At 51.2% G+C, this 16,568-nt stretch overlaps 1 protein-coding gene across 5 annotated transcripts in view, besides 3 other annotated features; it reads right to left on the bottom strand.

The window, feature by feature from the left end:
- Positions 1 to 16,568, bottom strand: part of GYPC (glycophorin C (Gerbich blood group)) — a 40,510-nt gene that overhangs the window by 20,483 nt on the left and 3,459 nt on the right. The window contains exon 2 of one of the 5 annotated variants that reach the window (XM_047444034.1): positions 436 to 553. The exons of the other annotated variants lie outside the window; for them this stretch is intronic. Coding sequence (XP_047299990.1) covers positions 436 to 538 — 103 coding nt within the window. The 5' untranslated portion in view covers positions 539 to 553. The remainder of the gene's footprint in view (positions 1 to 435; positions 554 to 16,568) is intronic. 5 annotated transcript variants of the gene reach the window in all.
- Positions 5,299 to 5,842: an enhancer, noted in NCBI's record as "H3K27ac-H3K4me1 hESC enhancer chr2:127427919-127428462 (GRCh37/hg19 assembly coordinates)". NCBI's record gives its function as "activates a minimal SCP1, AML or CMV promoter by ChIP-STARR-seq in primed H9 embryonic stem cells {active_cell/tissue: H9 hESC(primed)}" and the evidence as "EXISTENCE:reporter gene assay evidence [ECO:0000049][PMID:30033119]".
- Positions 9,510 to 9,559: a silencer, noted in NCBI's record as "silent region_11927". NCBI's record gives its function as "represses an Ori minimal core promoter by ATAC-STARR-seq in GM12878 lymphoblastoid cells {active_cell/tissue: GM12878}" and the evidence as "EXISTENCE:reporter gene assay evidence [ECO:0000049][PMID:35858748]".
- Positions 11,484 to 11,643: an enhancer, noted in NCBI's record as "active region_16480". NCBI's record gives its function as "activates an Ori minimal core promoter by ATAC-STARR-seq in GM12878 lymphoblastoid cells {active_cell/tissue: GM12878}" and the evidence as "EXISTENCE:reporter gene assay evidence [ECO:0000049][PMID:35858748]".

The raw sequence follows: 16,568 nt of genomic DNA, 5'->3' as shown, positions 1-16,568 counted from the left end.
AACCTTTGCTTAAGCAAACCAAGTAACAGAGTGAAAGCAGTTACCCAAAAAGACATGAGGCAGTTACAGGGGTGGATCTGTTTCTTCAATCAGGATTAGAGGCTCCTAGAGAAGCCAGGTTGTGTGGAGGGCTCACAGCACAGCTGGAAGAAGCCAGGTTGTACAGATTTCAAATAATTGTATCATTTTCAAGTATAGATGGTTTCATAATGAAACAAATGCATTAATTTTTCTTTACACATTTAACATAACTACTTCTGAGTTGTTTTGGGAAGTATAAACTCTGTGGTTTTAGGTGGGAAAAAATGAAAGAATATAAATGGCTAAACCCAGTACATATCATTAGCTTATTTTTCTCTTTTTCTTTTCCTTGTCTTATTACTTCTTCCACCATCACTACTACGGTGAATATCACTAATAAATTTTATTACTCACCTGCTTGGGTGAGGAAAGGGCAATGAAGGATCCTGAAGATCAGACTAAGAAGTCTGCGTTTTCTCGGGTAGTGACGAACAGCCACGACAGGTGAAGAGGTCATAGAGAAGGGGATTCTCTAGAGTTTTGAAGCAGGGTAGGGATGGAAAGGAGAGCCCATTGTTTAGAATAGCACTTTGAAGCTACTGAGAAAGAATCAGGATGACACAATGAGAGGCTCACAGGAGTGGATGATGGACAGAGACAAGGGTCTGGGTATGAGGTAGGAGCTGCAGGAGAGGCTGGCGGTCTGAGAATTTGGGGTTTAAGCAGGAGTGTGAGTAGAAGCGAATGAAGGGAACATCAGTGTGATGGGAGATGTAGGAGGGTTATGAATAATTATTTATTATTCTATGTTTCCACATGCCCCGTTATTGAATCACTTCCACAATTACAGTAAAGTATTAAAAATTAAGATGTGTCTCAGATTCTACATTTACATACAAAATAGATTTCTGTTCATTGTGGGAGGAATCCACGAGATGGATGCAAAGGATGGGAAGGGAATCTGGGAAAGCCCCTTGGAGGATGTTTCTGATGACGAAGGGTCCGTCCACCCTGGGCTTTGTGGCGGGGCCTGGTAGGGCTGCAGCAGGTGGGTGTGCTCAGCAGGAGCCACTCACCCTGGGCACTCAGCTATGGCTGCACCTTGGAATCATCTGGGACCCTTTCAGAAACACCCATGTTCAGGTCCTTTTCTACCACAGCTGCCAGACACAATACAGGAAGCCAGTGAAATCTGACTTTCAGATAAAAAATGAAAATTGTTTGAATACAAGTATGTCCCAAATATTGCATGCCAGCCTCCGTTTGAACTCACCAAATGTGTTGGGGGGTTAACAGTAACAGAAGCTGAGGAAAAAAGTTAACTTCTGAAGGTAAAATGTGCTGTCTCAAACAGGGTGTGTGTGTGTGGCAGGGGTGGGATTCGGAGGGGTGAACCCCTCCAGCCAGAGCTCCCAGGAAGGAGCAAGGTGCTTGGGCTTTCGGCACCAGCAGATCTGGCTTCCAACCCGACCACACCACATCATACCTTAAATGAACAAAACACTTAAAAAAAGGCTTCCATCTTCTCTGAGGCTCAGTGCCGTCACATGGGAGCAGTAGAGTCTGCCTCACAGGGAATTCTCAGCACACGCAAAATCCTGTCACACCTGTGGGAGGCACCAGCTCCCACCACCACATTCAGGGCTCGAGGGCCTCTCTAGTGCCCCTTTCTCCACCCGCGGCCTTGCCGAGCCTGTATTCCCCCCCCACTTGTTTCCCATCAGGTCCTTCCTGTTGCCCATAGCCCCCAGAAGCCTGCCTTGCTTTGGTATCTCAGAAAGTAAGGAAGTTTTCTGGGTCTCACTGCTCCCATTTCTAAGAGGTTGGGGCCTGGGGATGGGTCTGAGGGAGAAGCTGGTGAGCGGCTGGCCCAAGCCCATTTTATCAACACCAGGCCACCCAGCACAGGCCCACCAGGTACCCCTGCAGCTGACTGATAAGAGGCTCAGTTCTGCTTCTCCCGCTCGGAGGCTTATCAGAGGCAGGCCTGGGTGGAGGAGCCATTTCCATCTGCTTGAATAAGAGGATGGAAAGAAGGCCCTTGGAAGAAATATTATAATACAATGCCCAGGCACACTCAGACACAGCCACATACAGCCTGCCTGTGAGTCCGGGCTTTGTGTCCTGATGTTGCTGACAGGAGGCGGGTGTCTTACTTTCTATTCAGAGACAGGGTCTCTTAGGACAAGGCACCACAGTCCTGCTCTGGAAGGACTTGGGAGCCCTCAGGTCGCATAGGGTCCAAGCTCAGCAGAGACTCGAGCTTAAATCCAAGAGGCTGATCCTCCTGGATTTAAGAGGTGTCATTTAAGTCTCCCAACAGTGTGCCTGTGCCCATGTGCATGTGTGTGTGTGAGTGTGTGTGCATGTATGTGTGTACACATGTGCATCTCATGGAGAGGATCTGGCAGTGTTTAAGCATGAAACCATTTGTCCACTTAAAATTATGGTACCTAAAGCACCTGGTTGAACTGAGAAGAGGAGTTGGCACGGTCTGCCTGCCCAGGAATCTGTGGGGGACAGAGGTTGTGGAAAACACCTGAATTCTAGTCGTGGCTCCGCCATTTGCTATTGGTGTGGCTTTAGGATTGTTATTTCACACCTTTCCAATCCCATTTATTTAGGAACACTCAGGATACCAAGTTGTGTTAGGACCCCAGACCTTGTCTTTTAAACAAGGGCATAATGACACTCTCCTCCCGAGAGCACACTGGCAGCTCGACTGGCACACGGAGGGCTCAGTGAACGTGATCACCTTCTCCACCCCCACCCTGCCACTGTCCCAGGCTGTGGTGAGGACAGAGGGATAAGAAATGTGAATGTGTTTTGGTGTGCATGAGCGATTCCAAGTACAGACAGATGCCCGGGGGCCAACTTCCAAGATGTTAGGTGAAGATGAGAAGCGCAGGAATCAGGAGTCAGTCTCTTCCGGAGCAACTGGATTCTTGTCCTGGCATCATATTACTTAGGACAGGAGGCACACAGAAAGAGCACAGAAAGAGCCCTTGTGCTTGGGTTGGAGGGCTTCGCTCACTTGCCCTCCCTGGACCGTTCATCACATCAAGCAGATGAAAAGTACCTCCCAATACCCTTCTGGGTCTCCCAATACCCTTCTGGGTATTAGGATCCTGACCTCGAGTGTGACTTGCCTTCTGGGTGAGTTACATTAGTCTGTACCTCTGACATGGGTGAGGATAAGACTGAGGTGGTGGAATACTGGGTTCTAGCCTGAGCTGTGTGAGGCCGAGCTGTTCTCTCTGCCTCTCTGATTTCAGAGAGGAGAAGGAGGCTATGTATATGGGCTGTGCTTTCATTGTGCCAGGGAAGTGTGGGTGGGGCTGAGTGTGGTTCCTGGCCTTCCTCCCCCAGGTTAGGTGGCAGCTTGGACCTAGAAGCATCAGGTCGAGACCTCCCTTATCCACCTCCTTTCACAGTTCTGTTCTCTGTCCACTGCTGGGCCAGCCCCTCCACCCTGAGGGGAGAAGGTTGCTGCTCTGTGCTCTCTCTGAGGCTGATGCCTCCAGGGCTCGCACTGACCCAGAGCTGCGGTTGAGGGGTCCATGCACATTCTCCCTGCTCCCTAAGGGTCCTGTGTGCTCTGTGGACTGCAGGTGCTGAGGGGACAGGGGACCCACACTCACACTCATTCCCTGCAGGGCCAGGCACCCGAAAGATACATCTGACAATTTCAGACAGGCTCTGAAAGCTGGCCTCTGTGTGTTTGTGTGTGTATGCGTGTATGTGTGTGTTTGTGTGTGTGCAGGTGAATGTGCAAATTGGGCACTGTGTGAAGCCCCCCATTTCAGGGACTGCAGGAGGGCTCACTATTCTCTTCCTCCTTCCCAGCTCCCACCGCATGTCACAGGTTGCCCGGGCCTTCCTCTCAGTCTCTTGTTAGGGCTAAGGTGAGATGCAGAAGGGCACCTCCTCAGAGTCATGAGCCTTCTGGAGGGGCCTTGAAGGCTCCAAGACTTAGAGGGGATGGTGGAATTCTGGATGCTGTAACAGGTGCCGGGAGGTGGTCCCCTCATCTCTCTACCACCTCACCTGTCCACCTGCATCTCTCAGTTACCTTTTCCCTCCCTCATCCCCCAGCCACCTGGCCCTGGATGTGTCTTGGTCAGACCAGGCCTGCACCTGCCTCAGGACCCTTGCACTTGCTGTGCTCTCTGCCTGTCATGCTTCTCTCAGATGGCCCCATGTCTGGATCACTCACTTTTTTCAGGGCTTTCTCAAACATTGCCACCCTTAGTGAAGCCTTCTATGGCCACCCTATAAGATGGCACCCCCTCACTCCTCACCTTCCATCTCCCTTCCCGGCTTCACTGGCCACCCAGCCCTTAGTGCCATCTGATGTACTGGGCATCCTACCCATGTGTCCACCTCGCCAAAGTGTGAGGTCCTCTTGGGATTCCTGCTGGTTTGTTCACTGTCTTATTCCCAGGGCTTTGGCCTGGGCCTGACACACAGCTGGTGCTCAGTGACCATTTGTGGAATCTGAGCTCCCAGGCCACGTGTGTGCTAGGGCAGTCAGCAGAAGTGTGGACTCCAGGAGACCACGGTTGAGCTCTGGAGCTACCAGGTTATGACTGGAAGAATACGGACACACATTGACCCCCGAGGCTCCATCTCCAAATCTAATGATGGCCTCCCGGTAGGGAGAGGTTCCAATAAGGAAGCATGCAAGTGCACAGCTGACACCTGGCCCCGTGCGTGGAGAGGTTGCTCCCCTGTGCTCGTGCCTGTGATAAAGCACTGTTTTCTGAACTTGGGTGTTAGCTGGTTGTCCCTGGCTGTCGGGCTCAGGGAAGCCTGCCTCGCATGCTTGCACCTGCTCTGGCTCTCCCTCCGGCACCTGCCCAGTGAGGTGGGGATTTTCTGCAGGGCAGAGGCAAAGCCCCGAGTGCCTGTATTTCCAGAGGAGGTAGGAGGAGGGCAGGAGAGAGGGGAAGACTACAAGAGCCCCTCCTACCCGCTAGCAGCCTGGGCAGTGGAAGGTCAGGGAACGGGAACTGATGCTCTTCTCGTGGGCCCAGGTTAGTGGGCCTCCCTGGCTGCTGCCTGCTCCCTGACCTCAGGGTGGATTTTTCTTCCATGGCTTCCCATCCACTCACGGGGTTGAGGTGCAATGGGGTCAGGTGGGCCCAGGCCTAGAAGTTGTGCCATCAGAGAGTCTCCTGTTGGTTAAAGTCAGGAGTCTATAAAGGGCTGGACAGTAAATAGTTTAGGCTTGGGGGCCACCGGTCTCTATGGCAAAGATTCAATGCTGCTATTGTAGCAGGGAAGCAGCACATGACACTCCGTAAATGATAGGTGCTGTTGGGCCCCAAGAAAGCTTCAAGTGTGCAGATAGGGGGCAGCTGGATTTGGCAGTGGGTCTCAGTTTGCAGCCCTCCTGTTGAAGTCTCCCTGTCTCTGAGTCTTTCTGGTCCCTCCCTGGTTAACATTTACTGAGTGTGTGCCCCGTGCTAGGTCTGGGACTTCATCCACAGCCTCTCACGCAAGGTGCCTGTGGGGACTAAGCCACCAAGAGGCTGAGCTGTGCCTGTAGCCCAGCCTGGCCCCCTCGAAGCCTGTGACCCATGCGATATCCTGCTTCTTGTCAGAGCGCAGGCACATCCCTGCTGCCTCAGTCCCTTCTAGGGATTACAGAAGTGCCTGTGAGGACACAGGCATTGCTGGGGAAGCAGAGGCCAAAGGGGGTGAAACCAGTACCCCAAGGCCACCCTCACTGGCTCATGGCAGGGCCGAGACAGCAATGGGGAGGTGAGGTGGGTGGCCTGCTGGGCTCTTTGTGCCCCTCTGTGAGTGCACTGGTTGGAGAGGCGCTGCACAGTGAGACTTCTCCAGGCAATCCTGAGCCCCAGGGTGGAATCGGGGTGTCCCAGAAGGGCCCCAGCAAGTGAGTCCTGGCTAAACTTAAGGCTTGGTCCAGTGAGGCTAGAGCAGCTCTGGGCAGTGGCGTGCTGCAGCACAAGCCTCCCTGAGTGGGAGCTGCGGTCTCAGAAGGAGACATCATGAACTGGAGCAGAGAGAACTTGTTTTTCCTTGGGGAGGGCCTCACACGCAGGGAATTCAAAGGAGAACCGTCTTTGAGAACCACTGGGGCTCTCAGGGCAGGAGGCAGGGCAGTGAGAGGCCAGCCTTTCATCCTTTCATCCTCCAGACAGTTCAGCCTCTGTTCCCACAGCCCTGGGCCGAGGAAGACGAGATGTGGCCAGAAACTCAGATAATTGTGCCTCTGGGATGTTGCAACCTCAGAGAAGGCTTTTACCAAAAGCACCACCCTGGAAACAGAAGAGATTAGGACCATGAAGAGAGTTAGGCAGAGGACAAAAGCCTCCAGGAAATAATAATAATAAGGCTCAGAAGTGCCCATGAGCGGGAAACACTAGCTCATCGGAACTTCGAAGGAACACCGTGGATTTCATCCTCCTGTGACCGCCACGTCCTGAAAGAGGCATTTTGACTTCCTCTAGCATTGTTAGTTTTCTCAGTGAGTGACAAGCTTCATTTCGCTCAAATAAATTGTTTAAAAATATCCTGTCCCAAAAGGGTTTTTCAGAGGCTCCAGGATTCTGAAATAAGAAATGACCCAGGGCGAATTACCAAGGCCTGATATAAATCAATGTACTCGACAGCCTGCTTGAACCAACTTTCTCTCCCTCCTTTTGGGAGAGGATACTCTGTTCTTCCTTGAAACTCCCCAGTTTCCGCACATATGAGGGAGGGGTGGTGCCGTGCAGGGATTAAGAGATAGACTAGGGGTTGGAACCCCTGGGCTTGAATCACAGCCCTGACACTCACAGACATGTCCTGTACCCTGAGGAGGGGGCATGGCCTGGAGCATCCACTCGCAGCACAGGATGATGACCAGGGACAAATGTCGCCAGGCAACACTGCGCACGTAGTGAGCTCTGGACATCAGCACTGTTCTTCCTGCTTCGTATCCCTGCAACTTGTCTTTACCAATTCATTCTCCAGAGTTAGAGCATCCTCAGCAGTCAGCATTGATCACCAACAACCTGTCTCTTCAAGCACAGGATTTTAATTCAACAAGCTGCGACTATGTCTAACTAGGTCAAAATTTACTATAATTTCCTATTAGCTAGAAAAGCACCCATTTACGTTGGGGGAATTATACTCCTTGAAGTTATTCTCTAAGTAGCTACATAGCTATTGAGCCAGTTCAGCAACTAATCGCAGTAAGTCATAGGCAATTCGATCCGAAACCTGAATTCGTGTGATAAGAAATTTCTCACCAGGAAGACTGGATGCTTTTTATTCCTGTCATGATGTGAACCTTGCTGTCCCAAGAAGCCCAACAAGGCTTTGAGGGCAGCCATCTCATCTCACACCTTTGTCCCCTCTCAATTCTGAGGACTGACGGCAGGGGAGAACCACCATAACGCCAAGTGTTTCCAATGATGGTGGAACCAGGGATGTCTAAAGTGATTAGTAATTGCTTGCGGATGAATTGCTCTCGCAATCCAATTTTGTATCCAGTCTCTTTTTTAACATTTCAGATTTCTTCCTGGAGTTTGAGCGTAAACCTTCTGAAGTTTGATAGCATTTTTCTCATGGAACTAATTGGTAAAGTGATAAACAGCTGTGTGTGCATTGTAGTTGGCTGTAGGCAAATATTTAACCACAATGAGAGCATTTCACAACTGCATGGGGTAGAGACGTCTGCTATGGAGGGATCATCTGAGATCCAGGCCTCAAAGTGTCCTCCCTGAGAGCAAACAGTGACCGAGCATCAGTTAACTGCTCTGGCTCTGGAAGGCACCAGGCAGGAGATCTCAAACTTGTCTCGGGAGTGAGCCATCACAAGGGGCCCTGGGGGTGTGGCCACCAGGCCTTATTCCTTACTCAAATGGGTCAGATGGACTTTTATCTCTTATGTATTTCTAGACTTCATCTAAGAATTAATTTTATAAAATTGCCACTGCTGCAAAAAAAGTCAAAAACAAAAATACTGCAACAGAGATTTGTAGTTGTGACGCTCTTTTGTGTGTGTGTGACTTTTAGGGTGGGGATCCCAGGTGAAGAACCCCTTCTTTTGAAAGTTCAGGAAGATGTGGCCTTAATCTCAAAGCAGCCTGGCACTGTTACCTGTGTCTGAGCCAGGTGCAGCAAGCAGTCTGCTGGGCCACGTGTCTCTAATCAGCTTTTTGACTTATTCTGTTTTCTGATGCTCCTGGATCTCCCCTTCCTTACTAGGCTGAAGCCCCTTTGAAGATATGGTCTTTGTCCCTTTATGTCTCCTGTGCAGCACCTTGCATGCAGTAGGGACTCCCTGGATTAAAATCAAATGCATCAGATTGGACTGGGATGATCTGAATGGTGGGGCTCTTGACTGTATTCACTATAAGTGGATGAAAAGTTCAAGGCTCAGGGCTCAGGTCACCTGCTACACAAGAGGTCCCTGCAGACTTGGAACTTAGAAAAGGACTCCACAGGCCAGGCGTGGTGGCTCATGCCTGTAATCCCAGCACTTTGGGAGGCCAAGGCGGGCGGATCACCTGAGGTCGGGAGTTTGAGACCAGCCTGACCAACATGGAGAAACCCCGTCTCTACTAAAAATATAAAATTAGCCAGGCGTGGTGGTGCATGCCTGTAATCCCAGCTACTCGGGAGGCTAAGGCAGGAGAATTGCTTGAACCTGGGAGGAAGAGGTTGTGGTGAGCCGATATCATGCCACTGCACCCCAGCCTGTGCAACAAGAGCGAGACTCCATCTCCAAAAAAAAAAAAAAGAAAAAAAAAAGATATCCAGATCATGTGATAGGCAATGCATGTAGGAGTCATGTCTGGAAACTGACCCAAATATTTAACTGCTGGGGTATGATTGGGGAAGGTTGTTTCTGTTTTCTTTACTGATACACTCCAGAGGGATTCATTGCAGAAGGGTATGGGAGACTTAGTGCTGAACCCAAACCAAAAATAAGCAAAACAGCCTTGCTGAATTCTCTAAATCCACGTATCTCTAAATCCTCTGTCTCTAAATCCTCTGTCTGCTAGGTGGGGTCTGATGGCTACAATGACCTTGAGTGACAAGCAGACAGAAGAGGCTATGAGGAGATATTCTACATGGCAGATGCTCTACACTGAGCAAAGAAGTGGGAACAGAGTCCTAAAAATAGTGGAGTAGAAAAAGTTTCAAAAGCATGTGGCACCTAACACCCAAGGCCAAAAGATGTTGTAGGCAGCAGTTCTTACATTTGTTTCTAGTTATCTCTGGGAGGTCAGTAGGATCCATGCACCAAATGCCTGTCTGCCCTGTCCCGAACCAGATCCCCAAGTGTCTGCCTCAGGTCTGGGGCTGATACCTGTCTGCTGCTAAGAAACGCAAGGAGATGGTGTGTAGGAAGAAATGTGTGTGTGCTTGTGTGTGTGCGTGCATATGTGTGTGTGTGTGTGTGTGTGTGTGTGTGTGTGTGTGTGTGTGTGTGTAGGGAGGGAGGGGAGGGGGGCAGGAGAATGGAAGGCCAGCATCACAGTTTCTTACTTGCAATGACTCTTCAGCCTCAGCCCCTCCCACTTAAGAATGATGAATGAGTTTCAGTGGCCTGAACAGTACACTCACAAAGGAGACAGGGACCGAGGACTGGTCCAGTCTGGCTCCTCTATTGCAACCTGGTTGTGTAAATTCTGCCAAGTCACTGAACTTTCCTGAGGTCTGCTTTATTTACCTGCAAAAGAGGGAGACTAGTATGTCTCGAATGAAGAGTGGAAACAGATTTGAAAGTGCCTAGCAAAGTGTAACAGAAATTGCAGTCATGCAGTGACAATGATCCTCCGGCTGGCTTGTTGTACTTTAACACAGAATAAAGTTGCCAGCCCAGGGGTGGTTCCACGGTGGAGGCATTCCAGGAATTGGCCAGGAGTTGGTGGGGGCATTATTCTCTCCCAGTGCCCCTGTAGTGACCTTGGGAGGCAGCTGCCCACTCCTTCCCCGGGGGAAGAGTGGGTTGGCCTGGGCTGGCAGGACTGTCACAACCCAGCCCTTGTGTACCACTCTGAGCACTGCATTCGCAGCTGCTGGGACACAGGTGGGTGCCTGCGGAGGACGGCAGAGGGAACACAAGTGGTTCCGGGTGTGGGGGGAACAAAGAAAGGCCTTTTCTTCAGAGGCCAGGAGAGCGACCTCAGGGCTGTAACGATCTGAGCAGAAGGGCAAGGGGTCATGGGCAGCCCCCTCCCAGCAGGGCAGGCTGCAGAGTCCCAGAGCTGGAGGAAGACACACCTGGCTTCCAGGAGAGAGCGTGTCAGTGATGCACAGGGAAGCACTGGGGAAATCACCTCTTTGAGCCTCACTTTTTGTCTTCCTAAACTGGAATTAATAATATCTGCATCTGTGTGATGCCTTCAGCATTAAAGGAGGCACTGTGTGTGTTACACGTCCTCACTAGGTGCGGAGCAGGGCAGAGTGGGCGCTTGCCAGGGCGTGCACAGCCCCAGGCACCTGTGCCGAGTCTGCTGTAGTGCTTTGCCCTGCGTCGGCATCCCTTGGGCCCCCATCTGAGGTGATCAATGCACCCAGAGGGTCTCCAGGGCTCCCTTCTGGGCCCCTCACAGGGTGGCCTCTTTACACTGATGTCCTCCAGCCTTATCTGTGCCCTAATCTCCCTTCGAGCTGCCACTGGGTGATCATCTATCTGTCCCATGAATCGGTGGTTCCCCCTTACCTATGGGGGATGCTTTCCAAGACCCCCAGCGGATGCCTGAAACCAGAGATACGACTGAACCTTACATACATGATAGTTTTCCTATATGCGAATAACTATGATAAAGTTTATTTTATAAATTAGACACAGTAAGATATTAACAACAATGAATAATGAAGTAAAACAATTGTAACAACGTACTCTATAAAAGTTATATGAACTAGTCTCTCTCTCTCTCTCAGTATCTTACTGTACTGTACCTTAGGTAACTGAAAGCTCAGATCAGGGCAAGAGATTGTATCTCAAAGTCACCCTCTTCCCCATAGAGATTCTTCCTACATCCTTCCTCTTGATCTTGTTCCTACAATTCTACAATGAACATGAATTGCTTCTGCAATAATGAAATAGGGCAAAGACAACTTATTTTTAAACTTGTAAGTGAAGAGTAGCCTATTCTTCTGACTTAAAAGGCCAAAAGAGTAAGAGAAAGATAGAGACAGAAAATGAGAGAGACACAGAGAGAGAGAGAGAGAGAGAGAGAGAAAGACAGCAAGTAGTGCATGACCTGAGCCTCCCTAGCATCTACTCCAGCTGTGTTAGTGAAGTCCCACAGGGAGAGGTAGAGGCTGCCCCTGCAGATGCCCAGCCCAGGGAGTCCTCCCGTGACAGACAGAACTGCTAAGGAACCAGGACTGCCAACGTAGAGGAGGATCAGAGCCCTGGGAGCAAGGGGCAGATTCAGGCAGGGAGAGCAGAGGCAGTGGGCTTCAGCCCCTCAACCTCCAATGGGCTGAGCTCAGGTCACAGGGTGACTTCCATGGGCCAAGGTGCTTTACCTTATGGGTCCCTTCTCCTCCCAAATATTAGAAATCATATTGTATAGCTGCACTGGTATAAAGGCAAATGTACTATTTGATCTTAGAGGTTCATTTCCTTCCTTCTGATTTTAAAAGAAGCTCTAATACTGTTGTGGGCCTCTAGAAGCACTGTGGTCTCTGAGCACTGCGTCTGGGGTCAGGCCCTGGCTGAGCTTTCAATGTAGAGGGGGAAGAGAAGGAGGTGTGAGGGGCTGGTAGGTTCTCTGGAAGTCACATCCACTTGCTAGTTTCGGTATCATCACATGCAAAATGGAGATAAAAATACCTCCCTGGGGCTGCCAGAGGGCTAAATGAGATGGCGTCTGTGGAGTGGAGCCTCATCTCTACTCTCTGAGACAGGGCTACTGTCACCAGATGAGGAGGATGGCTCAGGATAGTGTAAAGAATCAGTGACAAAGAAAAAAAAAAGACTATGAAAATTTTTTAAAAAGGGAATACTCAGGATTTTCAACCATAACTGAAATTAATTTCGCTAAAATGAGAAGTTTTGCCGAAGTTGAAGGAAAGGGATTAATATGACAAATCCATCCAGGGCATGATCAAGCAAGGCCTGGCTCCCCTCCCAGGAGTTTGGGACCTGGAAAAGCTGGAAAAGGCTGAGAAGGAGCTTTCTCCAGAGAGAGAGAGAGAGAGAGAGAGAGAGAGAGAGAGAGAGAGAGAGAGAGACCAGAACCTTAGAGAGACCCAGCTCCAAGCCCATTCAAAGGGGAGCATGAAGGAAAAAGGAGAAATGACTGCCTAAAGAAGACATTGAAAGGTAGAGCGCATGAGGGCCAGGTGAGCCGAGGGAAGGAGGCCCCCGGCTTCACACTCAGGGGAGGGGCACTGGCAGACAGGGGAGAGGTCAGGGGCTGAGCTGAGAGGAGCTTAGAGTGCACCAGGGTCAGGGCCTTGCCCAGGGCAGGGAGAGGGTGCAGTGAATGCTGGGGCCCAGGGCACTCTTTGCAGACCTTGTTTGCCTACATGGATGGACCTTCACATCCCTCCATCCGTTTGCTGACTCATTCACTCATTCCTTCACTCATACGGTGCTTTCAAAGAGCCTACTCTTCTCCATGGAGAACCAGATGGCCCAGGTATGAGTGGTTGAGGGGCTGGTGCCCCGATGAGGTGGGGGCAAAGATGACCTCTCTCCAGGGTGATGTGAGGAAATGGAGCTCCGGAAGGTAAGAGGCTTGCTCCCCATCACACAGCTGGCGTGCGTGGCCAAGAGCAGGGCCTGCGTGTGTTTTCTGGGCTGTCTCCACCGCAGTGCTGACTCTTGGATAAAAACATGAAGGAGGCTGGGCGTGGTGGCTCATGCCTATAATCCCAGCACTTTGGGAGGCCAAGGTGGGCAGATCAGGAGGTCAGGAGATTGAGACAATCCTGGCCAACAAGGTGAAACCACATCTCTACTAAAAATACAAAAATTAGCTGGGCGTGGTGGCACATGTCTGTAATCCCAGCAACTCGGGAGGCTGAGGCAGGAGAATTGCTTGAACCAGGGAGTCGGAGGTTGCAGTGAGCCAAGATCATGTCACTGCACTCCAGCCTGGGGACAGAACAAGATTCCATCTCAAAAGAAAAACAAAAACAATAAAAACCATGAAGGAGCAGCATCGGGAGCGAGAGGGCCTTTCCCTGGTCTCTGTGGGACCACACAGATGCAGATGGCCCCCTGTCATTGGGTATGACTTTCAGTGGCAAAGGGGCAAACATCTGAGGAGTCTGGAGAGCAAGGAGGGAGCAGGGCAGTGGGGAGGAAGCTGGCGTTTAAGCACACACGCACACACTCAGTGAGCGGAAGCAATTAAGCACAATTATGAGCACATACCAGGCACTACACTAGGATGTTTATCTGTGAGAATGCACTGAATCCTCCGAACAAAGCCCTGAGGTAGAGACTGTTATTAGCTCCATTGACAGGTTCAGGACTAGCCGTAGAATTTGCAGAGCCCAGTGCAAAATAAAAACATGAGGCCTCTTATTCAAAAGAGAAGAATTTGAAGATAGCAGTGACAGAGCATTAAACCTAGGAAGTGCGGGACCCTGCTGGGCAGGTCCCATCCCTGTGAAGCCATCCCTGTGCCAGACGATGGACCAGCAACTTGTCCCAGGTCACAGCCAGCTCATAGTGGATCCAGACCCAAAACCTCATCCTCAGATTTCAAAGCTAACCCTTTATCACTAGCAAATTGACACAAAGTCTATTTGAGCTAAAGGTTTAAGAAAAAATACAGAAGGGGAACCTGAACTTGAAGCTTCAAGCATTGCTAAGGCCTGTGTGTAGGTTTCAGCAAGAGCACTGGATGAGTTTCTCAAGCGAAAGTGGATTTCATATCCAATGGGCCCCTGTTGCCCGGTGAATACAGGAGAAGGGCTTGGCTGGGCCCCACACCAGAGGCATCATTGTTTTATCAGGTTTTGATCTGGCAACCCATAATTTCCCCCCTTTTAAGACTGTGCTGAGAATACATGTGCTCATCGGCTGCTGACAAAATGTGAAGATTCTCCATGCCAGAGTTCAAGGAGGAAGAGTGGCAGTGCTGGGCTGGGTCAGCTGGAGACCCTGTGCCTGAGCCCCTCGTAAAAATGCCCACTGCGTGTGGGAGCAGCGGGTGTGAGGCGCCCTGGCAGTGGCTCTCTGCGAGGATGTGTCAGTCAAGACCATCATGTGCAAAGTGCAGATAAACAGAGCCATCAGGGTGTGCCAGGGGTGCAGGGAGATAACCAAGGCCACCCTGCCCAGGGCTGGCTCTACATGCCCCGAAGCGGAGCTTCCTCCCCTGAGCCCTGGAAAGAGGTCACTGTTGTGCCTGCTGGGCCCCAAGCAGTGTGTGACCACAGTGTTTTGGCAATAAGAGAAGGGGCATCTGGTAGGCTGGGCACAGTGGCTCATGCCTGTAATCAATCCCAGCACTTTGGGAGGCCAAGGAGGGTGGATCACCTGAGGTCAGGAGTTCGAGACCAGCCTGACCAACATGGAGAAACCCTGTCTATACTAAAAATACAAAATTAGCCAGGCATGGTGGTGCACGCCTGTAATCCCAGCTACTCGGCAGGCTGAGGCAGGAGAATTGCATGAACCCAGGAGACGCAGGTTGCAGTGAGCCAAGATTGCGCCATTGCACTCCAGCCTGGGCAACAAGAGCAAAACTCCGTATCAAAAAAAAAAAAAAGAGAGAGAGAGAAGGGGCATCTGGCTTTCACATGCATAAGCAGAAGCAGGAGAGACTAGAATGCAATTCCATAGAGAGTTCTGAAGGAGGGGTGGTGACGCCAGCAGAACGGGAGAGGGAGCAGGGACCACAGAGCCAGGCAGGTTGGCAGCAAGTCTTGCTCTGCCCCCATCTACAGCTGGGGGATGCCAGGCGAGGCAGGCACCCCTCACCAAGCCCAGGGCTCACTTGTGAAGGGGTCAGAACTGCAGAGGCTCTCCAGGGGCTGGAGAAGTCATGCCAGGGTCCACCCAACCCTCGCCTTGCCTAAGAAGGAACCCAGTGTCGCCGGCCTGGCTCTGCCTGCACATGGGAAATGGGCTCTTGCCAGTTTCTGCCATGGGTTAAGATTTTGTATAGGAACATTGTTCTGGAAGAATGTAGAAAAATGAAAATGTATAGTCTAAGGAGAGGAGCCAGCATTCTGTCAGAAGTTCCGATTATGTAAGGATCTGAAGAAAACCCCAGGCCAAGATGAGAGGGAGGTGGGGTAGGGGAAGGGAGTGGATATGAAAATGAACCCCAGCTGGGTGAGAAGGTGGGAAGGACTAGGTGGGATTCCTGGGGCCCAACAACTGTGCCTTTAGAATTTGTTTGGGGTTGACTCCTGTCCATTTCAACTTAGTATTTACTGGCCTCCAAGTCCATGCCAAGTTCTGGACCAGGAGCTCCTGAGTGAAGGCTTTTTAAAGGCTCTTTTGGTATTGGAATGGTGGCAGTCCTGGGAGCGTGGGCCTTGGGTCATCCCTGCAATCATCCACCTGCCTCAAAGTGGCTCAGCAAACCCCTGTCTGTGACAGGCCCTGAGTGGGGGACAGGCGGGGTCACAGAGCCCCTGGAGAGGTCAGAATTCTGGGAAAAGGCAGACTCAGGAATCTGTCAGGGCTGCAAACTGTGCCCAAGGCTGTGGTGGGTCGTTTTCTAGGCTTGGGAAACTGGGTCCTAGCAGACCAGCAGGTGAGTGTGTGCCAGGCCCGCGGCGTGTTGAGGGGCCTGTCGTGAACAGTTGTGAGAGGTGCAGCTGGAAAGGCAGCAAGCCTGGGACGGTGCGTGAGGGAGGGCTCGAGGGCCACCCCGAGCCAGCTGCTAAGGCGGGCAAGGGCAGCAGCAGCCCAGAGCATGCCAGGCCTGACCACAGAAAGCACAGCATGGACACAACGGTGGACTGGGGTGGGACACAGGCCCGGCTGAGGAGCTGGGGGAGGCAGGCGGGTCCTGAGTGTCTGTGCATGCAGTTCCTCAGTGTGCAGAGCCACAGCAGCAGGCCCTGCCTGGCACATACAAGCTGTGGGCCCACATACCCTGCAACTCTCTCCTTGGGTTGGCCTCAGTTGCCTGTGGGGTCTGGCAGTTTGTAACTACAGCCTGGCTGCGCCCTCAGTGTCTGGGTGCCCTATGGCGGCTTATCTCCCCCGAGCCTCTGGTGTTTCATCCGAAAGTCTCTACAAAAAATACAAAAATTAGCTGGGTGTGGTGGCGTATGCCGGTAGTCCTAGCTACTTGGGAGGTTGAGGCAGAGAATCTCTTCAACGCAGGAGGTGGAGGAGGTGGAGGGTGCAATGACCTGAGATCACACCACTGCACTCCAGCCAGAGTGACAGAGCACGAGACTCTGTCTCAAAAAAAAAAAAAAAAAGAAAAGAAAGAAAAAGAAAAGAAAATGCCTATCATAGCAGGTGTGCAGGGGAGACCCAGGAAAGCCCCTTACCAGGGCTCGGCATCTAAGTTTGTTGTTATTTTATCAAAAGCGAAAAACAACAGCTGTCTGGAGGGTGACTCCTGAAATTACCAGCATCCTCA

This window comes from Homo sapiens, chromosome 2 (genome assembly GCF_000001405.40).
Source record: "Homo sapiens chromosome 2, GRCh38.p14 Primary Assembly".
Classification (NCBI taxonomy): domain Eukaryota; kingdom Metazoa; phylum Chordata; class Mammalia; order Primates; family Hominidae; genus Homo; species Homo sapiens.
The sequence above is the reverse complement of the archived record's forward strand: the minus strand, read 5'-3'. Positions and strand labels throughout refer to the sequence as shown.